This window comes from Homo sapiens, chromosome 9, assembly GCF_000001405.40.
Source record: "Homo sapiens chromosome 9, GRCh38.p14 Primary Assembly".
Lineage (NCBI taxonomy): Eukaryota > Metazoa > Chordata > Mammalia > Primates > Hominidae > Homo > Homo sapiens.
In genome coordinates, this window is record NC_000009.12 from 69,732,674 (window position 1) to 69,757,641 (window position 24,968).

The window sequence follows — 24,968 nt, forward strand, 5'->3', positions numbered from 1 at the left end:
GTGTGTGTGTGTGGTCGTGGTGAGAGGTCATAAATTAATGGCTGATAAATATTATAAGGAGTCATGATTCACATCTTTAAGTATATATGCATGCCTCACCCTATGTGCATTTGTTTGCAAACAAGAAGCTGCATTCTGATAGCTTTCATTCAGCAAAATTCTGTATTATAGCATAAAATCTGGAAGGTAACAAATATAATTCATTAAACCATTAAGAAGGTGTCAAAATATCCTTATCCACAAATTCTCCCTTTGTCTGTTTAAGATTTGCATTAACATGTATTTACATAAAAAACACTAAATAGTGTTTCGAGCTACTTAATGTGTTTACTTTGTACCAGTAATTTACTTATATAAAAGCATTTTTTAGACTAAAGATTTCAAACCCAAAGGTACAGGAAATTAAGTAAGAAAACTCACTTTGTCATTTTAAAATAATGGAATTTCTTATTTAACAACAAAATATTGCTTGATAAAAAAAATTAGACAAGCCAAACTGATGGATGCATATTTAACAGTTCCTTTCCCCTGCCACCATCCCTTTCCAAACCCCCATACACACAGTCATATACCCTTCTGTGGTATACTATCTCAATTTCTGGTGATGAAGAAAATATAACTGACTATGTGGTTTGGAAGAAGCTGACCTGCAATGTTAACTAAAGGCACGATTACCACTAAGACACCTGGAACGGACATAAGATCCTAAAAATGCCCACGATTTAAGAAAAATTAGAGTGGCTTAATAAACTGAGAATTTCAGAGTGACTTCTTCATTGGTCCTGACTAGCAAGCCCACACCATCCCATTTTGGTCAAATAAGAGTAGTTACACAGGGTCCAAGAGGAAGATGGTTCCAGGTGGCCAGGATTTTGAGAGTCCTAAAGTGCATTCTGGCTATCTGTCCCATGCTTTTAACCTAAAAATGTTCTTTGTATGTATGGATTTTAGCAACTTTAGCTCAGCCTACACAGCATTCGCTTCAGCTGCCCTCAGCTTTCTCTGTAAGTTAATTTTAATAACCACAACCATCACCACCAACATCTTTACCAGGAAAACAACCAAATGCTTTTAAAATCCATATTGCTCATTACAGTTGAGTATCTATAAATGCAATGCCCACAACTGCTTCAAAGAGTTAATAATAGCTAACATTTATTGAGTATTTAATATGTGCCAGGCACTGTGGGAGTGTTACATGCATTAACTCACGTAAACTTGACTGTTAACTATATGAGACAGGTGTAATTATTATTCTCATTTTACAAATGAGAAAACTGAGGCTTGGTGAGTTAAGTAATTTCCCATGAACACTTAGGTAGCAAGTTATATAGCTCCTAGATTTAAATGTAGGTAACCTGACTTCAGAATTCATGCTCTGGAACCAATAAGTAACCTTGCCTCTCACATGTCATGTTTCTTTCTCCAGCCAGTCTGAATCCTAAGTAAGAGTACTATGTTGTAAATTAACCACACCTGTGAATCCATGTTTCTGGACTCTTTGGAAACTTGGTTAAGGCGAGTTTTCCCAGATGTAAATCCTTAATTGGATTTAAAGTGCCAGAGAGGATCAGCTCTTTCCTGTAAAAAAAAAAAAAAAAAAAAAAAAAAATTAAACATTACTTTATCCTTATATCCAAAGGTTCTACATGGCTTTTAATATAATCTCATTGTGAAGCGAATGTCTAAGAATTTTAAAACAAAAAAAGAAAGAAAAAAAGCCCAAGCCACTCTGGGATATAAAACACTCATAAATGTGACATGCAGTAATCAAGAATGTATTCTCATAATCCCAATATAACAAACTAATAAGCAGAAAGAGAAGCTCTTAAATCAACAGATTTTAACGATTTTTAAATCTTAACTATTTGCGTGAGGGTAAATGGGGTTTTCTGGCCTATCTCATTTCCAAAAGTTGTGAGACCTGATATCGTACCTATAGGGCCAATCCAATACCAGCCAAAATTGGTCTAGTTTCCTAAATAGGACTTGACATGGTCTATTTCATTACAAAACCACACATACAACAAACACAATATGGTTGAGATGTAAGGGAAAAAAAAATCATTCATGGAATCACTATTCTAACCAAATTACTATTTTTTATTTTTGAATTTTCCCTTCTACTTTTCCCTATCACACATACATTTTAACATATAATTTTACATCCTGCTCTCATTATATCTTAAGAATTTCCCCATGATTCTATATAATCTTTGTAATGAACATTTTAAATGATCAAATTAGTTTTCATTTAGAAGCTATGCTTTTCCCTTCTTGTTAGACATTTAGGTTGCGTCAAACTTTTTGTTATTTTAAAACAAATCTGGGCAGGGGAAGCTTTGTGCTTATAACTTCTTTCTTTTGTATTCTTACTTTGGATAAGTTTCCAAAAGAGCTATTAACAAGGTAAAATACTTACATGACCCTTGATATACGAGGCCATTCCTTTTTAAAATATTAATATAAGCAGCAGAAGTAATAGCAATGTAATGTTTTGGTTGTTTTTAAAACTGTTCAAGCCCAACCAAAGCTTCAATGCAATCAGTTGTCCCTTGGTATCTTGTGGGGGCTTGGTTCAGGACCTCCCAAGGATACCAAAATCTGCGAATGCTCAAGTCCTTGATATAAAATGTGTTGCCATATAACCTACACACATCCTCCCATATACTTCATATCATCTCTAGATTACTTATAATACCTAATACAATGTAAATGCTATATAAATAGTTGTTACATTATTCAGGGACTAATGATAGGAAAACAAAGTCTGAACATGTTCGCTACAGAAAGCAATTTTTTCCCCAAATATTTTCTATCTGCGGTTGGTTGAATCCATGGATGCAGAACCTACAGATACAGAGGGCCAACTATATAAAGAATGTCATGCAAGAGCTTTCTATACCTGTTTCTCAGGTAAATACAATTTACATTTAATTTCTCAGGTAAGTTTTTGATAAGTGCTGATATTACACTCTCACTGAATTCTCAATGTATCTATAATTTTATAATAAAATCAGATCATTTGTTATTATTTATCTTAAAATGTCCTTCCTGTGTAGGGCTGATTATTCATTTATTTTAGAGAAGTTTAAGCCAGAGAAAACCAGAATCCAGCTCTTATACCATATCTACTTAGACGGACTTAATTCCTAAATACCACAATACATTTTCTTTCCAACAGTGACATACTATTTATAAAGTTTTATTTGATAAAGAAAACAACTATTTTCCTTTCAATGTTCAGGAAACCAATTTGTCATTATATATATATAATATATATATAAAATATATATTTTTTTCTTGCAACAGCCAATTGCTTTTGCAGTCTTGGATTATTTTTCTTCTGAAATCAGTAACATTTTGTTCATACAGTAAGTCAGGATACCTATAAAGTAAAAGGAGGAAAATATTGCTCTATGTAATTTTAACCACGTTTGAAAGCAATGTTTCTCAAAGTGAACCCTGACTGCAACATCAGCATCATCTGGAACTTATGCGAAATGCAGATCCTCAGGCCTCAGCCCAGAACCAACTGAGTCAGAAACTCAGGTGGGCACAGCAATATGTGTTTTAAAACAAGCTCTTCAGATGATGCCCATTGGCTGGGCACGGTAGCTCACGCCTGTAATCCCAGCACTTTGGGAGGCCGAGGCAGGTGGATCACGAGGTCAAGAGATTGAGACCATCCTGGCCAACATGGTGAAACTTTGTTTCTATTAAAAGTAAAAAAATTAGCTGGGCATGGTGGCACGCACCTGTAGTCCCAGCTACTTGGGAGGCTGAGGCAGGAGAATCGCTTGAACCCAGGAGGCAGAGGTTGCAGTGAGCCAAGATCGCGCCACTGCACTCCAGCCTGGCAATAATGATGCCCATTAAAGTTTAAAAAACAACTACTATAATGAATTTATTGTATTATGCTTAATTTCCATTTCATAAATTTAAGACCTCTTATTATTTATAACTGTCTACCTTTATTCCCATATATATCCATATATAAGGGGAGATAATCAAAATTTTCTTCAAAAAAGAGGCAGTTACCCTACAACTGAGTTTTGACAAAGTTTCTTAAATTATGGGCACTCTCTTTTGCAACCACTGCGGTACAGAATTTTAAAAAAAGAAAAAGAAAAAAATGGGGACTCCGTTAATATCTTTATTTTGAATTAAGCAGCATTTTTGGGAAGACATCTTAGCTTGAAACAACCTCAATCAATGTTAATATATGGACACTGAAAAAGATCACCTGATGGAATCAAGCAAAATTTTAATATCAATGTAATAAACATTGCTAGGGGTAGTACTGAACATTTGTAGGTGTTGGATATTGCTGAAACAAGTTTTTCAAAAATCACTTTAAGAGGAAATATGATATGTGGTAACATTAACAGCAATCACATAATCTAGTGCTATATATTTTTTTTTAGATGGGGTCTCACTGTCTTGCCCAGGCTGGAGTACAGTGGCACAATCTTGGCTCACTGAAATCTCTGCCTCCTGGGCTCAAGTGATCCTCCTGCCTCAGCCTCCCAAGCAGCTGGGACCACAGGCACACACAACCACGTCTAGCTAATTTTTTGTATTTTTGGTGGAGACAGGGTCTCACCATGTTGCCCAGGCTGGTCTCAAACTTCTGAGCTCAAGCAATCCACCCATCTCGGCCTCCCAAAGTGCTGGGATTACAGGTGTGAGCCACCATACCTGGCCTTAGAGCTACATTTTAAAAAAATCAACTGCTCTAATGTATTCAAATAAGAATCTGACTGGAGATACAATTTCCACTCACAAACAGATTCAAAAAGTGCTGTAGCTCAAACAACTTAGATATACTATGATGGGCTCTGGAAAAATGTGCTACAGAACTAAAAACAACTAGGTCTTGTGATGACAAAGTCACTGATGTCAATGAGGCATGTAAGGTGTTTGAATAAAACTGACTACTCTTTTTCTTTTCTCAATCTTTACTCTGTCTGAAATGACAATAATAATGGCCATCCTCATTAAAAACTACCATGTATTGAACACTTCCTCTGAGTCAAGAACCGTGTAAAGTGATTTACATATGTTACATAATTTCTCACAACAATCCTGTAAGGTAAATATCATCATTGAGCCATATGAAATTGCTGATACTCAATCTTTTTTTAAAAATAAACTTTTTATTTTACAATAGTTTCAGGTTCGTAAACAAGTTGTAAGGATAATACAAAGAATTCCCATATGCCCTGTACCTAGTTTCTCTGCTATTAACATCTTATATTACCATGGTACCTTTGTCAAAATTTATGCAACAGTATTGATATTGATATATTTTTATTAAAAGTCCATACTTTATTTAGAATTCCTTAGTTTCTACCAAATGTCCTTTTCCTCTTCTAAAGTTCCCTCCAGGATCCCTTATATTTGGTAGTTATGTCTCCTTATGCTCCTCTTGGCTACTCAAATTTACCTTGCTTTTGATGACTTTGACAGTTTTGAGAATATGGGTCAGGTATTTTGTATAATGTTTTTCTCATCATTAAACTGGAGTTACAGATTCTGGAGAGGAAGACCAAAGAGGTAAAGTGACATTTTCACTGCATCATATCAGAGGCATGTGCTATCAACATGACTTAGCATTGTTGATATCAATCTGGATTACCTGGCTGAGTTCAGGTTTCTTCACTACTTTTTGCAAGAAAGTCACTGATTTTTTTATTTGGTGCACAGCTCAACCTTAAGAAATACAGAGTTATGCTCTACCTTGTAGAGGGGGATTATCTAGATAAATTAACAGAACATTTGTCTATTGTCTCTTACTTATATATTCATTCATTCATTTCAGTGGGCTGATGGATAGGGGTATAATCCAATACTATGTTATTTATTTTGTTGCTCAAATCATTCCAGCTATGGCCACTGGAAGCTCTTTCAGTTGCTCCCCATGTCCCTTTTTCATATCCCACCATATATTTTTGAATACTTCCTTACTTTCTGGCTCTATAAGATGCTCCAAGCTCATCTTGTATACTTCCTGCTCTGGTCCTAGAATCAGCCATTTCTAACATCATTAAAGAATGGTATTAGAAACCACAATGTGGGTGCTAGAATTAAATTGTTTTTTATCTATATAAAAAAAATTTCCCTAACACCTCAATTTTTTTTTTTTTTTTTGAGACGGAGTCTTGCTCTGTCACCAGGCTGGAGTGCAGTGGCACGCTCTTGGCTCACTGCAACCTCCGCCTCCCAGGTTCAAGCGATTCCCCTTCCTCAGCCTCCAGAGTGGCTGGGACTACACATGTGCACTGACACGCACGGCTAATTTTTTGTATTTTAGTAGAGATGGGGTTTCACCATATTGGCCAGGATGGTCTTGATCTCCTGACCTCGTGATCCACCCACCTTGGCCTCCCAAAGTGCTGGGATTACAGGCGTGAGCCACCATGCCCGGCCAAATACCTCAATTTTACAGATGAAGAAATTGAATCCTGGAGAAGTTCAGTAACTTGCTCAGGTTTCTTAGCTCAAAATGTCAGAACCAAACATCAAATCTGCACAAAATAAAGTTACCAATTTAAATCAATAGGCTATGAGTTCAGAACATGAATCACTGGAGTTTGGCATCAACTATTCTAGTTGCTCAAAGGTGTTTTGCTTACTCTAAGTACATAGACTGATGAAGAAAATAGGACATTATTACTAAGTCAACCTCTTTCATCAGGTAATTCACAAATTTCCAAAGCAAAAAAAAAAAGCAGTTTTCTTTAAAAAAAAAAAAGACAGCTGAAATTCTAAATTATGTGTATCACTCACTGTAATTACAGGAGATCAGTTCAAAAACTTATTTTTGCCTCTATTTCTTTCCCCTAAGACTGCAATACCCACAAATTGAACTAGACGTCTATTGCATTATTCTTTAGCAGTTTGAAAAATGCATTAAAAAATCACTCAATGCCTTCCAGGGTTAGTACAGAAGAGATCCACTAACAATTAAAAATAAAGTTCTGTGTATTTGATACGCAATAGAGACCTTATAGGGTTAGAATTTACTTTGAAGTTGGTAGTTTGTTGCTCAAAATGTACCTATGATTTGATGTCTTTCTATGTCAATCAATCTTACTGATATGAATTAAAATTTACTAGAACACATATCCACAAAGGATTTTTTAAAAATCAAGATTCCCTTTCTACTCATCTAGCACAAAACCTTACTAATCATCTAACTAGAACAATTTTCAAGATTAACTGTCATAAACATCCCTCAAGTTAGATTTATGGAGCAACTTCCCTTCATAAGACCAACCAGACATATTTTTTTAAAAGTTTAATAGAATCATAAAAAAATTCACCTAATTCAAATCTTTTATTTCATAGATAAAAAAACCAAAACTCTTGATAATTAAAAGTTATACTCAAAGTCAGCCGCTAGTTAACTTATGAAACAGGACTAAGTTCCATGAATCTTAAGGCCAGGATTTTTTCTCCTATGCTCAACTGGTTTATAGGATATACAATGAATAACATGTGTGTATACATATATGTATATAGGTGTGTGTGTGTATGTATGTATGTAGGTATATACACTATGCTAGTGAGATCATTTTTTGTTGAAGCATTTTTGAATTCCTCTCTATTGGTGAGGATGATGAAACAGGACTAAGTTCCATGAATCTTAGGCCTAGGTTTTTTTCTCCTATGCTCAACGGGCTTATAGAATATACAATGAATAACACGTGTGTATACACATATGTATACAGGTGTGTGTGTGTGTGTGTATGTACCTATCTATGCATATATGCTAGGCTAGTGAGAATTTTTTTGTTGAAGGACTTTTGAATTCCTCTCTATAGGTGAGGAATACAAGAACATGAAGAAAAATGGCATTCCTACTTCCCTATTACTCTGATTTCTTTTTCACTGAATTTGATTTCCGTGCCCAATTTGCAAACTGCATGTCTATTATGTACCGGCACTAGAGTTAGATGCTAAGGAAACAAAGGGGAAAAAAAAAAAAAAAAAGACATGGTCCCTGCCCTTAAAAAAGCTCTGAATTTTAAGTTCATGGTACCTTCCTAAAAGTCTCCTTTGCTGATTCTTCCTCATCTTGCAAATGCTAGAACAGTGCTGTCCAATAGAAATATAATGTGAGTCACAAATACGAGTCATATATGATTTAAAATGTTCTAACAGCTATATTAAACACAAGTATAAATATATTTAATTCAATATATCCAAAATATAATAATTTCAGCAAGTAATATAAAAATTATTAATGAGATATTTCCATTTTTTGCTAGGTAGTCTTCAAAATATGATGTGCAGTTTATCACTTCGGACACATCTCAGTTGAGACTAATCACATTTCAAGGGCTCAATAGCCACATGTGGCTAATGGCTACTGTACTGGATTGTGCAACCCTAGAAAATAGAATGTCTCAGGGCTCAGTCTTTGAACTGGTTCTTGTCTCTAGCTATGCCAACACTTTTGGGGATCTTAAAACAGTTTCATGGCTTTAAAACCATCTATATGTTAGTAATTCCCAAGTTTACATCTGGCCCAGACCTTTTTCCTGAACTTTAAATTAATATACAACTACTTGGACACAAATCTAACATGTCCCAATCTGAACTCTTGGCCTATAACAAACACCGCCTACCTAAATCTGTTTCTCTTCCAGACACTGCCATTTCAGTAAATGGCAATTCCATCCTTTCAGTTGCTCAGGGAAAAAGCCAGAGGCAAGCATGACTCCCTCTTTCTCATCCCATACACTTTCCACTACACTGCAGTGCTTCTCAAATACCAATGATATAATGTTATATGCCTTATAAGCCAACCAGTTATGCCCATTGCCCATTAGTCTCCCACCCCAAAAAATGAAGGAAAATAAAAGCATGTATCAAACAGTATACTGTAACTCAACATGACAATTTATATTTCAGGCAAGAAAGTTTATGAAGACACCACACAAAAAGGGGCAAAATGCCTATTTAGAATTGTCACAGGTATAAAGAATAGGGAGAAGAAATAAGTGTAAAATGGTTTATATTTCGTTTTCAAAAGCTAACAACTTATGGGGCTTACATGTCTTCAGAAATTTGGACAAACTTTATCATATCACTAATGAAAATGACATACCTCACGTTCCATGCAGTGGTAAAGTCTGGGTTTAGAAGCAGCAGGGTACATGTGACATCTATCAATTCTAAAATAAAGAGAAGTCATATTAAAAACAAATAGTCCTACCTTTTAAAGCTTGGCTTCTCATTCTTTTAAGGTTCTCTTTCTCTCTATCACATTATACTAATATATCTCTCATGTCATACTAACTTTAATGATAAATTCCCTCTTCTAAGCTGTCAAGGATATGAAGATTACTCTCAAGACCCTCTCCTGGTAAGTGTAACTCTCTTAAAAGATGACACAAACAATTTTATGATATGCCTATAAGGAATAATCTAATTAACCTCTTCCTTTTGGGTGCTTTTTGGTACTAATTTAATATTTACCGAGGAAAGAAACAAAATTTCTATGCCACTATTCATTTAACTTCACAAATATCTCAAGTATTGACGGTGTGTGCGAATTTTCAAAAGGAAAAAAATATCACTCAGAATCCAACCCACTTAACATAATTCATTTACATTCTCCTGCAAAAATTATCCTTTCTTGCACATATTTTTACATAGGTATAGCAATGATAAATGTACAACTTTGTTCTATATTTTTCACTAAGTATTATTTCATATGCATCCTCCTATATTGCTAGAGTATGTATTTTTAACAGTTGCATAACAATCCCTTAGTCCTATATACCATCAATTACCTTACTCTTTAGGCTGTTTCCTGTTTGTTTTTAACGTTATAGGTGATACTACTATAAACATTTTTAAAAACTTTTTGTCTTGTAGGCTATTTTCTTGGGCTATATTTCCTGAAGCAGAACTACTATGTCAAAACAACTTAAAAATCAGTATGACTCCTACTAAGCATTTCCAGATTGTCTTTAAAATAGACTGTATCTATTTATACTGGCAAAAGGAACATGAGTGTACTTATGTCCCTATAACTGACCTATATATATTTTTAAAAATGAATGTGACAGATAAAAAATTACAATTCATTTGTTTTAATTTACATTTGTTAATAGAAACATTTTCATTGTTTACTACATATAGTTCATCTTATGAACCAGCTATTCACATCCATTAGCTATTTATATTTATGACAGAATTCCTATACATTCAAATAAGCACCATAAGCCTCTATTTGAAAGAACAAAATTAGCAAAGTTTAGACATATTGTCTTTGTCTTACTAAAACTGAAAAGAATTTTAGGATTAAGGTTATCTATCTAGGGGCACAGTACTAAATTAAGGCAACCCTACCAAGCTCTTATTAAATGTCATGTAATAAAACAATACAAATAATTATTACCATTTATTTAGCATTACTGTGTATGAGGCATGGCAGTAAGCACTTTATTTTATATTATTTCACTAAATTCTCATAATCACAATCCAAAATATTCTTATCCCACTTTTCAGATAGGGAAACTGAAATTCTGCAATTTAAGCAATTTGCCCGTAGTCACCCAATTAGCATGTGGCAAAGTCAACATCAAAATTGTTTCCAACAAGTCAATTATGCTGCAAACAAAATGTCTGCCTACAATAATTGGGACATTTTCAGTGTTTAAGTAAAATATAAACTTTTTAATATCTAAGAGCAAATACACATAAACACATCCAATAGTCATTTAAAAATATTCTAGCTAACAATAAAATCAATTATTTTATTCTATCTTAATAGGAGATTAACATTTATTTGGGGCCCATGATTTCATTACTAGTGAGCATATTGGAATATTCAATTCAAATGAGCAACAAACAGTAGGATCAGTACACATTTATTTTGACCTCCAAGTCATTACATACATTACAACACAATATGCCTATGAAGAATAATTAACCTCTTCATTTTTTTACTTTTAGTAGTTTTTGGCACTAACTTAATGTTTATCAAGAAAAATAAATATAATATTCTATGTCACTATTCATTTAATTCCACAAATATTCCAAGTATTGACTATGGACAAAGATTAAAGTAGGCCCTTAGGACTGAGTGATTGAATGTAATGATAAACAAGACCTAATTTTGCCTCTAGGTTATCTTCAAGTTGGAGAGACTATATAAACAAATAATTATATAAGGCAAAATAATTATGAAGTAGAAACATAAACCACATTTTGGGGCCCACCAAAGAAGCTGCAATTAATTCTTAGTGGAATTATACATGGAAGACTGTAAATAAATAAAGTGGTCACGGCACCACCTTACCATACTGGAAAAAGTATGAGCAAAGATAAAAATGCATGGAACTTCACACATAGTCTGCTCTCTAAGAGATTATGGATACCAGAGCATGACTACAACACAAGGTACTGGTAAAATGTACCAGGAAGTGAAACCTTCTGAAACCTGGTCTCAATCTCCTGATCAGCTTGGCCTTCCATTACTTTCCTTTACATGTTACATTCCACCTGAGTCAAACTCCACTGTCCTATGAACACACGTCCTACCCGCCTACCTTCTTTTCTCGGAACATAATTCAGATTTACCTGCTTGCTATTCTTTCTGGCTCATGTCTTCCCGTCTCCTAATATTTAACAAAAAAAAAGTTTAAAGGCTTTCCTAACCTACCTAGTTGGAAAAAAATCTTTCATCTCTGCTTTTTTTTTTTTTTCTCTGAGACGGAGGCTCACTTTGTAGTACAAGTTGGAGTGCAGTGGTACAATCTTGGCTCACTGCAACCTCTGCCTCCTAGGCTCAAGCGATTCTCATGCCTCAGCCTCCCCAGTAGCTGGGACTACAGGCGCGTGCTACCATGCCCAGATAATTTTTTGTATTTTAGTAGAGACGGTGTTTCACCATGTTGCCCAGGGTGGTCTTGAACTCCCGAGCTCAGGTGATCCACCCGCCTCAGTCTCCCAAAGTGCTGGCATTACAGGTGTGAGCCACTGCACCTGGCCTCATCTGTTTTATGCGTATCTTACTTTTGTTACTTACATAAATATTGTCCTCTTAACTGGACCACAAATTTTTTGCACGCAGGTCCTCTCTAATACATGTTCAAATTATTCATTCACTCAACAAATTTTGTAAGCATCTACAATAAGCCAGGTACTGAGCTGGCTGAAGATGAGTAAGCACAGTCCCTGGCCAAAAGCAGCTCCATGTCTGACCACAGCACAGAGGAGTGGTAAGAGGATAGGCCTTCCTTAAAGCCATACTACCTGGGTTTGAATCCCAGCTTCTCCACTTACTACCTACATAACCTAACCTCTTGGAACCTCAGTGAAACAAGGACTCACTCAGTGAAACCTCAGTGAAACATCAACCTCATGGTGTTGTGAGCAATGAAATTCATTCCATTTCTCCACAGCTTTTTGACACACAGTGAGTACAATTAAACGCCATCACTGACTGACAAAGAAATGAGTATTTTCAACATAAGTAAGGAAGTCTGGAATAATGAGGAGGTTGTTCCTTTAGTAAAACTGTCTAAATTTCCAAACTTGTAAAATACGCAGCAATAACAAAAAACCCCTTTGTAGTCAAGTAGTTACATGGAAAGGTTTGTAAATGATGGGAAAGCCTCTGGAATTTCTTTTGACATCTACAATTTTCTAAAAAGTGATTATTCTACCTAGGTAAATTAGCATAGTCCCTTGGAATCTCCCTTTCTACATTAAAGAAAATGTGTCTGACCAATGGTAGCTGCTATTTGTTTGTACTTCTAACACAATTTCCTTCCTCCCTCCATCACAAGTGAAGACAAGAAGTCCATCCTCCATGAGAGACTTCTGTACAGCAGCACAAGGCAAAAACTAACACAGCAAGTACTTAAGTCCCCGCTTTTCATTTTATGGTTATGTGAAGATACAGGAAGACTTATCAAAGTAACACTTCCTCTACTGGCAGGTCTCTCCCTAAGAGAGCAACAGCAGCTACTGGGTTCAGACAGAGCCCAGCTCCATCACTTACTGGGAATTCTTGGGCAAATCACTTAATCTCTCTAGGCCTTAATGTCCTTCTCGTATGTAAGATGGAGCTATCATGGGTATATTAGATGATTAAATCCTTGAAGTGTTAGTACAGTCTCTGACATACAGTAAGGACTGAATGGTAATTCCTGTTACAAAGCCTGTATTTTCTAGTCCAGTTCCACAAATGATATTGGGACTGGATGCCTCCAGAGGGAGCAAAAGATCCTCCTAAGCTGGCTAAGCAGTGACTGCTGAGCAGAGGGATACTTTTTGACTTTTAAGAATCTTCGAATTTAAAACATCAACAGCCTTGACCACCATCGGTGGTACCTAGTAACATATACAACCATAGGCCCTTCTCTTCTCCTCTTTCACAAACTGCTAAAACTTCCTCATTCAGGACTCAGGCTCAGACAAGACTTCCTTCAGTAAATATTCCAGTCTGATATAAGAAGCTAGGGGTAAAGTGCAATGACAGAAATGAGAAAGGACTAGGAGAAGAAACTAGATTAGAAGTATCAGACATAATTAAAGAATCTGATCCTCACAACAACCCTCTGAGGTCTTGATTAGTATTTCCTTCTTTTGGTGTGGAAATAGGAAGAAAGAGGTTAAGTAATTTGCTAAGTCATTGCTAAGTGACTTCAGTGTGCTGACAAGTTCAGTTTAAATCCAGGTCTGCTGTCCTGCAAAGCAGATGCTCTTTCACTCTACCACACTACAGGCAATAACTTTGCCTTCTGCAGGTCAGGACTGAACCAAAGACCTGAAAAAGAACATGTATAATCAACGGTTGTAACTATTTGACTCTCTCAATTTCATCAACAATACGCCATTTCCTCTGCAGTTTCACCCAAAAGACATGAGCTACTGAAATCTCCACAGTCTCTTGAAATTAAACAGGTCTCTCTCCAAACAACAGAACATATACCAGCAAATAAATGTTCCTTTGTTACACACACTACAATATATGACTAACCCATCATCACGCCACAGGGAGAAAAAGAAATCAGGGCACATTATACATAGAAAAGTAGCTAAATTTCAGCTATAACAAGGAGAAGATAAAAGGATGCTACAGAAGTTGGAGAAAAATCAATATGCTTTTCTTGCTGCACTGCATTCTAGAAATGGCCCAAGGCCAGTAGTCACCTGGTAATGGTCACTGGATTTGACAACTGTCTCTAACAGAGAAAGGTTTTCGTGCATCTAGAAATAAATTCAAGGCCAACTTAAATCAGTAATTCTTTTCCTCCAAAATACATTCAGGTTACCACAAGAAGTGAAGCTTGAGTTAAAGCTATATGGTAAACACCAGAGAGGCCTTGTTTATTATAGTACACAGTCACAGAATCAATAGCTAGACTAAGCTAAAAACTCTTGCTTACAAACTCTTGTTACTCGTTTGACAAATGTCTGTTGAACATGTAAAGGTTCTGAGTAAATAAAAATGATCCACAATCCCTTTTCCTAATAAACTCACATTCCAGCCAGGAAAAAGGTTGTTTAATCAGCTAAAATACAGTGTGACAAGTGATACTATTATGCAAGCCATCTGAGTAAAGGGCTTCCATAAAAGAGCAGGGAATAATTATTGCTTCCTGAAGCAGTCAAAAAGGCTTCACAGTGTTAAGTGTGTGTATGTGTATGCACGTGCATGTGCTGGCAACCACACTGATAATGCCAACATTAAGACATGAGCCTGGCCTCAGCAAAGGCATGGAAGTAAGGCAGTAGTACACACAGAGTCAAAGAATGGAAGAATGCTGCTTGTGGCTGTAATGAACATATGTATCAAATAGCTGCTAACATAAATGTTTCTAGGGTTCAAATGAACCTCAAAAAAGTAGCAAAGGAAATTTGACAAGAAGTATCAACTAACACTCTGCCGCAGTGTCTCAAGAGCTTGAAAAGGCTGTGATAAACTGGAACAGACATGCCCAGTTACGAAGAGTAGAGGCTGTATGTCCCAGCCAACTATTGCCAGGTAGAAAGTTGTATACTCAACCAAGCCTTATGATTTTTCAAGTGAAGACAGAAATCAGATTTATCCAACTAATAAAAAGCAATTTTTAAGACATTATACAAGCCACACCAAAATGTATCTAGATTAGCTTCAGCCTGTGTGCTAAGAATCTGCAACCTCTGATGCTGAATATAAACTGGAGGAAAAACTGGGGACAGACTGTGAAGGCCCTTGAATACCATGCTAAGGAGTTTCGACTCTACGTTGACCCTGTGGGTATCATGAAATAAGATGAGCATATAATGTATTTCAGAAAAGCGTGGTCAAACTGTTTTTAAGAAATGCTGTTCAAGCGTGTCTGAAATGACTGGCTACTGGCATAATGGACATGGGTCACAAAAGAGCCTGGAAAAGGGGTAGACTGGTTATGAGGTAATAACATTTGTCTGGATGAGAAATAATGAAGGCCTGGTCAGCCAAAGAAATGGAGAGCAGAAGACAGCTTTTAAAGAGAGAGCTCAGATATAGACTAAGTGGGGGCTGTGAAAAAGAGAGAGGAGCAAGAAAAGATGGCAGGAGGGCACTCCTGAAGAGTTGCACCAGAGAGCTCTGTCCAGAAAGAACTCCAATGCTGTGGTCTTCCCTCCTGCTTCTTATATCTGTTATGGATTTCTCAAACATCAGAATTACAGAATCAGTCCTCTCCCAAACCGAATGTATTACTATCACAGACTTAAAAAAAAAAAAATCAATCTCTAACTAACTAACTAAACAGGGATAATTCCTAAACATCTAAGGAATTCAGCAGGTTAATGAAAACAAGAATTCAGTTTGGTTAGGAAGAAAAAATCTATCCCAGGAGTAAAGGTCACCTTCAGTTACAGAATACATTTTTAGGTGGATGCCTAGGATTCTTGCATGATCGATCACACAGACAGACATTCAGAAACTGTCACTTAAATTGTCATCTTTCTTCACTTGGGTCTTCTTATAAATATATATTCTCTATAACAAATAATTTTAAAGGTGTAGCATTTTCATGAAATAACTGCTTTTTCCTAACATTTTTGACATGTTTTTCTTAGCAAGATTCACCTCTGTGCTCTAATTGCTTCAGTTCTTAGGTTTGGCAGAATACTCTTTTATTTTCAGATATCTTTTTCTGTCAAACCCAAAATTCACTTTCTTATATTTACTGATAATACAATATATAACCTGAGTAGTATGTGACACCATACTAAATTATGCTATCCACCCCCCTCAAAATAGTCAAATTAAAAACTGCTTCCATGGGGATGTAGGTTAGGATCAAATCAAAAGCTGCTTTTGTACACATGCACGGTTGCAGCTGAATTCAAAGTTTAGATGCCAGCTATTCATGTGAGTGAGCTTAACCATTTAATATTCCGCAAGGTTCCTTATGAGCCTACTAAAACTAAAACTATGTGGTAAGAAGACACAGCAAAGCCTGCAATAGTGTCCAGAAGGACAAAAACAGAGAAATGGAGAGGACTTGGAAGACCACAGAAAGGGTAGGTTGAGCTAACATACATAAATGGGCAACTATAGCCTCTCACTTTTTAAAATTCAGTTTCTTTTCTATAAGATAATCATTCTATCCCCTAACTAAAGTTAGTTATACATTGGTTCGATTATGCATTTCTGTGCACCAGAATATAAACAGTACAGCTTTGTTTGGCAAAAAATAACTTGATGGAGTCATATGGTGTTACTTTTTACCTCAGTGTTACTGAAAACTACAGCACGGTGATGGAATGCAGAATTAAAGAGGGTCTAACAACAGATAAACTTGCTTACCTTTAAGTTTATCCCTAAACCCATGCCTTAAAGTGTATGCCATAAATTTGGGCTATGGCTAAACTTAGGCACAGCCTTCTAATAAGAAAATATATAACAAAGGACTGAGTGAAACAGTCACACAGAAAATAGAAAACACTGCTCATTAAACCTTCAGAGTCCCTTTCTATGGTATAAAAAGGGAAAAGTGTTATTAACCAATTAATGACAGTATGTTACAGATAGTGCTGACAGAAATTCAAGGAAATCAGTATGTCATACATTAGGCAACACTCTTCTGTACATCTCTCGCCCCCAAAGAGATTATCACTCAACTGTAAGCTTCCTGAATAAAGGGACCATGTATTTATTCATCTTTTTATCCCCCACAGTACTCAGGACAGCATCTGGTATGAGTAGACCCTTGGTAATGGCTACCAAACTGGCAACTAAAATTCTCTAGGAAACAAAGTTCTTATTCAAAATCAGCCTCCAGGCATATTGAGCGCTTTTGAAGGTACTGCCGTACATGGGAAGGGGAAGAAGCTTTACAAAAACAGTAAAGGACATGGTCTTAAATTAGTCTTCTCCCAAAAAGTGAGACCTGAGGTGGGCATACAATGATAAACAGAATTTGTGCACATGGAGGCTTAATATGGCAGAACACCAAGAAAAGAGACCAGATGGAATGATTAGGGATTGTCTGATGCAGTAAAAAAAAAAACTGTCTGAGAGAAATGGAAGAAGTGAATGCCGGATAGTTTTGTTTTGCTCATTTCAGCACAGGAACAGGATACAAACGGCCAGAGCTCAACTGGAACTTGCAGTGGAATGGCACATCCATAAATCACTGGGCTGGTTCATAATATCACTACCACTATCATGCCTACATTATCTCATTTGGACTACTATGAAAATGAGTTTTGCTGCCTATAAAAATACTAAAGGATTAGAAACCAGAGACTGAGCCTATAGGGACTAGAGTCTTCTTCAGTGACATTCAGATTTTTTTTTTTCCTTCAAATGAAATCTTACCAATGACCCCAATACATAAACTGATAAAATCTGAACTGCTCTGGTTACAGGAGGTGCCCTGAAATTCTGCTTGAGGGCTTCTATATAATCACTGTGGTTGTAAAATTTGTCCAGGTGAGTAGAAACTACTCACTTGACAGAAAGGTTAGCACCCACCGAGACAGTGAACAGAAGAAGCAGAACTAGAATCCAGGAATGCTGACACTCAGAGAAGGGCTCTTCCTACTATATTCCATGTCGCTTCTAAAAACCAAATGAAGAAAATATGATTCATACTTACCATCTCTGTTCAGCCATTGCTTTCTTGTTCTGTACAAAAGGAGCTTGTTGTGGACATATGGTAAAAGGAACTTGACACACCAGCTCTCCACACCCAGTTTGTTTTCAACCAGGACTATGGGACTCCGGTTATACCTAGCTTCAGGACATGGGATCAGGCCAATTTCATCTCTTAATATGTAAAACATAAAAAAGAATTAAAAATAAGGATACTAACCTTTTCAACATTTTTCTAATTTCAGAGTATTTTAAAAACCCCACATATTTCCCCCTTCCTTACAAATATTATTTAGCTCACTTACTGGGATTGGTAGATGCTAATAGTGGCAAGAGTATGAGAAAACCAGTATGCTGTACTCTCTGTAGACAGGAGTGAAAACTGGTCTTGCCTTTGGATGGCAACTTAAAAAAAAGTCTTTCAAAATTTTGAAGGAACATACCCTTTGATCCAGCAATTCAACTGCTCAGAAATTATCCTATGCCAAAATATGTGAATCAGATGTTCACTGCAATGTTGCAACAAAACTAGAAACAATCTAAATGTTTATCAATATAAGACTAGTAAAAAAAAAAGGCCCATCCACATAATCAAGCCATTAAAAAACAATGAGGTAGATCTGCATATGCTGACATAAAAAAAGTTGCCAAGATATATGAAATGAAAACAAAAAGCAAAATGCTGAACACAGTGTACAGCACAAATCCTTTTGTATAATTTCTTTAGAAGATATATAGATGCATTAAAAATTTTCTTGGAAGGATAACAAGAAATTTTTGGAGAGAGAAAGGTGGTAAGGAAGGATTTTATTTTTATACAGTTTCAATTATCTAATAATTGTATGTATTTCTATTTTTTTAATGTCAACAAATGTGTTTATGCTTGCTTGCTAATAAATGCATGTGGACCAGAAACAAAGTATCAAAAAACGTTATTTTATCAGTGAGATTTTGGGCCATTTTTTCTTCTTTATATTTTCCTGAATTAAAAAACCACCCAAATAAATGTTAAAACACAAAATACATTTCAGAATTCAATAATTTTCCTCTGTGGTAGCATCTATATCCCTCAATCCACCTCAACTTAAGCTGAAAATTTACATTAAAGGCAGAGATTTAATAAACAATATGTAGGGCATTTGACTTACTTAGTAAATGAACCAGCAAACGTAAAAAATTTGTGCAAAACACATTCACATGCCTTTCAACTCTAAAGGAAGTTATAATTCTTGCCTACACAAAGGATCCTTTCTCAAACAGAATGTCCTCTGTTTAATTAATGAATAACAAGAAACTTTTTAACAATAAGAGTAGTTGAAATAAATGTTTTTAGAGTGTCTATATAGATATTTTAAACATGTCTTTAAAAAGCAGAATAATGAACTGGTTTTCAGAGTTTGTGTGTGACATTATGTATTATGTCCCTGGCATCCCCTTACCAAGAACACAGTGGTTTGATAGACCCAAAAGAGGGAAATTGGTTGAATTACAAAGTAGGAGAAACACCCTGTCTTTTTGTTGGGCCACTATCACAAATTGGTAGGAGGCTGTGGATTTAAAATAAAACCCCTCCTGGAAACTAAACTGAATAGCTTAGAGGTAATCTACTTTCTACTGATCACTTCATTAGTGGCACAGGGATTTATCAATAAAAAGGATATCTTAGGGGTTGCAAGACACTAACAATTCTTTCAAGCTAATTTAACTCTCAAGAAGACTGTGGGATCTATGGGTTTTTATCCTTACAATTGGTTCCGTTGACTCAAAGGTGTTTTGATATACTATATCAATACTATCATAAGTTTTCTGATTAACTACAATGTACTGGGTGCTTTCTTAGGTTCTAAAATTCAAAAAGAATAAAGCAAAGTGGTCTCAGACTTCAAAGAGCTAAAGTCTTGCTGGGGATCTGTGTCAATATCCATAATAAAATGTTACCACTTTACTACTCCAATAATATAAACAAAGTCCTGTAGGAAGAATAAGGACAAAGCTGAAAGAGCACCTGAGGTCAATGCCCAGTATTTCAAAATATATTTTGTGCATCTCTATTTGGTAGTATCCTGAAATCTATCTAATTCATTATTATGACCCCTAGCCATATCTAGCTATACTTGACTAATATATGACTGAATCTCTGGTATTTTCTGATGTTTGTGTTTTACTACATGAAGAATATTAAAAAATAAAGTAAAACTAAATAAGTAAATAAACTCAATGTGATTATTTCAGGAAATTCTGTTCTCTGAGATATAATAACCTACTTACAACACTTCAAAGAACTGCAAGAGTCAACAATATAACTGTTATAGTAACAAGAATAAAAGAATCCTGTTTCTGGGTATGGTTTGTTTTTGGGGGGGATTTTTTTTTTAAACTTAAATTCACAATATAAAAACCTGTCTTGCTCACTAATTAAACTAGGATTAAAATGCCCAGCTAATAATTTGGTATCTAAACTACAGAAAAGAGCCATCTGCACAATTAAAAAACACACTGCTTTGACTGTCTGTTCTTTCAAGAAATACTTTATAAAATAAGAATGGCTTGGATATAGCAGGTGCCCAATAGCTGCTTCCTGAAAGGCTGATTATCCTGGTACTTTAGTGATAATATTCAAATTAATAGTTTTCACTTCTTGTCCCTCTAAAAGAACATTATCTCTGATTTTCTCCTAATAAAGTATACTGAAAACAGCATGTGTCCAAGTCCTGGATGGAAATAGATATATACACACACACATATACATACATATCAGTATCAGGTCATTTTGGCTTCTGTAGACTTCAGTTTCCTCATTTGTAAAATGGTAGAATTGTATTATACCTCCAGTAAGGCAAATGGGATAGATTTCACCCAGCTTTCAAATTTTATGACTGAGAAACCTAGCAGCTATTTTCATGTGAGGAGAATAAAAACAGTCTTAACAGATAATGTAGAGCACTAGGGGGAAAAACACATGAAGAGGTAGTAGGGTGTAAAGACAAAAGTACTTGATTGGAAGTCCAGAGTTCTAGTTAGTTTCCATTCTATCCACTGACAGGCAATGAGAATTCGGCAAGTCACTTGCCATCAGTATCCTCATCTGAAACACAGGAATAGTATCTTCCCTGCCTGTTATGGAAACCAAATAATGTCATGTGAAAATGTGGCAAACTATGAAGTGCTAGACAAAGATCCACCAGTAGAGTTCATTGGTTAATAATGGAAAGCCGAGGCAAAGAATTTAAGCCTTTGTCAAGTTATGTGACCCTAAGACACAGTGTTATGCTGCTTTCTAAAAAACATTACACATACTTTGTAAACATAGGTAGGTCAGTAAGCTTCCAAATAATAGTGTGTTTGACTTCAGACTTCTGTGTCTCATCCCTTAAGTCACAGTCCACTTTTTTCTAGCCAATTTCGAATAGGATTCCTTCCAAAATCATTTTAAAGTTGGAAGGGACTGCATTCCTCTGTCATTTCATCTGATGAGGAAACTGAGGTACAGTGAGGTTTATGAGGATTATCTAAGGTCATATTGCTAGTGGCTAAGTTAAGAATCTGGGCCTCCTAATACTTAGCCCCAAACCCCTGACACTAGAACAAAGAGCAAAACAGGATTTAGATCAATTCCTTCTATTTTTCTGGAAATTTAAGTTCTAATTCCATACTAAAGAAACACTGGAAAACTCAGGAAAAACAAAACAAAACAAAAAAAACCCTAAAAGTCACTTGTAATCCCTGTTTTGCTATTAACATGTTTGGGTATATATCTTTTTTTTTTTTTTTTTTTTTTTCCTGAGACAGGATCTTGCTCTGTCGTCCAGGCTGGAGTGAAGTGGTGCAATCCTCACTCACTGCAGCCTCCAACTCCTGGGCTCAAGAAATCCTCTCACCTCAGATCTCCTGAGTAGCTGGGACTACAGGTATGCACCACCATGCCCAGCTAATATATATATATATATTTTTTTTTTTTGGTAGAGATGTAGTCCCACTATGTTGACCAGGCTGGTCTCAAACTCCTGGCCTCAAGTGATCCTCCCACTGAGCCTCCCAAAGTGTTAGGATTACAGGTGTGAGTCACTGTGCCCAGCTGGGTATACATCCTTTTTTCCTGAGTATTTTCAAAAAGTGGGATCATATTGAACATATTCTATAATCCTTTATGGAAAAAAACTGAGCAATTCCCATTAAACATTTTCCCACATAATCAATTTTGATATTTTTAATGGTTGCAATGAATGTGCTATAAATATCAAACATATCTCTAGTTATTTCTTTACAAAATAGTCTTATGAGAGGAACTACTAATAAATTTCACTCTTTTACACTGTTAGGTTTCTGGCCATTTACATTCCTGGTATTTAACAAGGTATTCAATTACCTGCATAACTAAGAAGATCATAGGATTTTTAAAGATATGATGGTTTGGGACAGCAATCAAGTTCTAATGGTGCTCACTTTTTAGGTCACCTTCATCACAGACTGCTCCAAAGGCAGAGCAATGTGGAACGAACCAGCACATTTACTTAAGATCAAAGTATGATACATCTCTTTGAGCGCCTCACTTCACAATAGGGATCCATTCATTGGCTTCCAGATGATGTTCACAGTTCATGTAACACTGATACTGACTTTGTTCCTTATGTTTAGACAGCTTCTCTGTCTATACTTCTCAGAAACACCATCAACCAGAACAGAGCCACTTATTATCCACAAAAGTTGCATCAACCAGCTTACCTTCTGGGAGGGATGGATGGTACCCAAATACTCAAACTGAATCCTATAGTGTGGAGCAACCAAACAGAAAACAGTCCAAGGATTCAGGAAATGGTAAAAACATTTTAAATCTAAATAGTAGTTATTTTCATTTTGTTCTGCTCCCACCCCCCAAAAGAACTGGAATTCTTTCCAGCATGACCAAAAAGGAAAGCTAGTAAAATATATCTAAAGGAACTGACCGTTGCATATTGATAATTAAAATTCTCCTGGTGATTTAGATATTTCAGAAACCTTATAGGCTTTCTCATTAATTCCAAAGATTATCAACTTATGTTTCACTGAAATTATATTACTGACCTTATTTAGAAAAAGCTACACAAATTACTAGTGTTTATTGTTACTTGCCATGCACGGTTAGGTTTTACATATATTTTATTCTGCACAATAATCTCATAAAGTAGGAATTTTGACCCCATTTTACAGAGGAAGAGTCTTGTCTAAGTCTACTCAGTTAATAAACGACAAGCAAAGACTCAAATCCAGTTTGACAGCTTAGACTATCAAACTCTAAACTCAAATTTTTACAACTATACTACACTATTATTTAAATAAATAAAAATCAGGTATAAGAAGCCCAGTAGACTCTGGCTTTCTATTCTTCAGTTCACCTTGCAGACGATCTAAAATTGCCTTTCATCATTCTTTACTAAAAAATGTTCACTGGTGCCTACCCATTGCCTTAGAAGTGTACATCCTTGAGCCAGCTTTTCTTCACCCCTCATGTCTCACTCAGTTTAAATGCTATTGCCTCAGAAAGAACCTCTTGACCTTATAATCTAAATTGGGTCTCCCTGTTTTTATTCTAAGTACCCTTCTTACTTTTTATGACTCTTTTCATAATCTGTATGTTGACTGATTAAAGTTCCATTAGGATAGGGACCATGTGTGGTTTGTTCATTAAACCACCCAGTTTTTAACCCTGTATACCCAGAGACCAGCATTGTGCCTGTCAAATGGAGGTACTCTTTTGCAGAATGTATGAATGGAATGAAAGAAATTAAATGAGAGTCAAGGATCTCCATAATCTGGCCCTACTGTACCTTCTCAGCCACACTTTGCTTGTTTAGGTCAATTCACTGCTCCCTGTGGAGGTCTCTGGCTCCCTCTGAGACTACAAATCCTACCCAGACTTTAATACTTGGCTTAAAACCCACCTCCACTAGCACCCCTATCCGAGACATAACCAGCCTCCTCTCCACTTCTATTAGACTCCCATAGCACTTGCTCATCATGCTCCTATCCAACTTTTACTATAAACTACTTTGGAGGGTTAATTTACTGTTCATGCAGTTAGTCTTAGGTCTCATCTACACCTGCACTATGCATCACAGTAGTCACTAGGCACATGGAGCCACTACGTACAAATCCATTTAAATTAAATAAAATTTAAAATGTGGTCCCTGTTCATATTAGGGACACTTCAATTGCTCAATAGCTACTATGGCTAGTGGCTACCATATGGAACAGCACAGACACAGAAAATTTCCACCATTACAGAAATTTCTGTTAGTGCCTTGGGTTCAAGAACTGTATTTTAAACTTCTATTTCACACAGTAAAGATGGTACCCACAACACTTCATAAACAGTGAGTTCAATATTTAATAGAAAAAACAATAACTTGCTGGATAAGATTAATTTTAACGTGACTGTTTACATTATAAACTGTTGTCTTCTACATTAGCACAGGGTCCATACACTAAGTTAAAGACTATCCCTAGGTCAAGTTTTCAGTTTTAGAGAATCCAATATGATTATCTAATACTCAACCATACAAACAGCATTTATATAGTATTATCCAGGTTTATAAAGTGCTTCATATTCACCAATCATTTGTCCAATATATTTTTGGTGAGGAACACAGAGATTCAGGGAAGGTCTAATATTTATTGAGTGGCAACTAAGTACCACTGTGTGAGGTGATTTTCCTGTTTTCATCAGCCTCACAAGATCAAGAGGAAACTGAGGCTGAGAGAAGGTACCTATTCACATCATACAGTAACAAAATCCACATCTCACCACTGCATCCTCAACTCCTTCTGGCTAAATATTTCTACATAAACAAAGTCAATGTATTTAATGAAGTAGATGTTGGCCAATAAA

The 24,968-nt window shown here is 35.9% G+C and overlaps 1 protein-coding gene across 15 annotated transcripts in view; it reads right to left on the minus strand.

Annotated features, from left to right (window-relative positions):
• Positions 1 to 24,968, minus strand: part of PTAR1 (protein prenyltransferase alpha subunit repeat containing 1) — a 50,487-nt gene that overhangs the window by 23,149 nt on the left and 2,370 nt on the right. For 6 of the 15 annotated variants that reach the window (NM_001366940.1, XM_005251980.6, NM_001366939.1 and 3 more), the window contains exons 2-4: positions 18,108 to 18,277; positions 9,119 to 9,185; positions 1,477 to 1,581 (exon numbers count right to left, since the gene is read on the minus strand). In NM_001366940.1, coding sequence (NP_001353869.1) covers positions 1,477 to 1,581; positions 9,119 to 9,185; positions 18,108 to 18,277 — 342 coding nt within the window. Of the gene's footprint in view, positions 1 to 1,476; positions 1,582 to 8,047; positions 8,104 to 9,118; positions 9,186 to 18,107; positions 18,278 to 24,968 lie in introns of those variants that run through there. The other 9 variants (XM_047423355.1, XM_047423353.1, XM_011518639.2 and 6 more) reach the window with 4 other exon arrangements.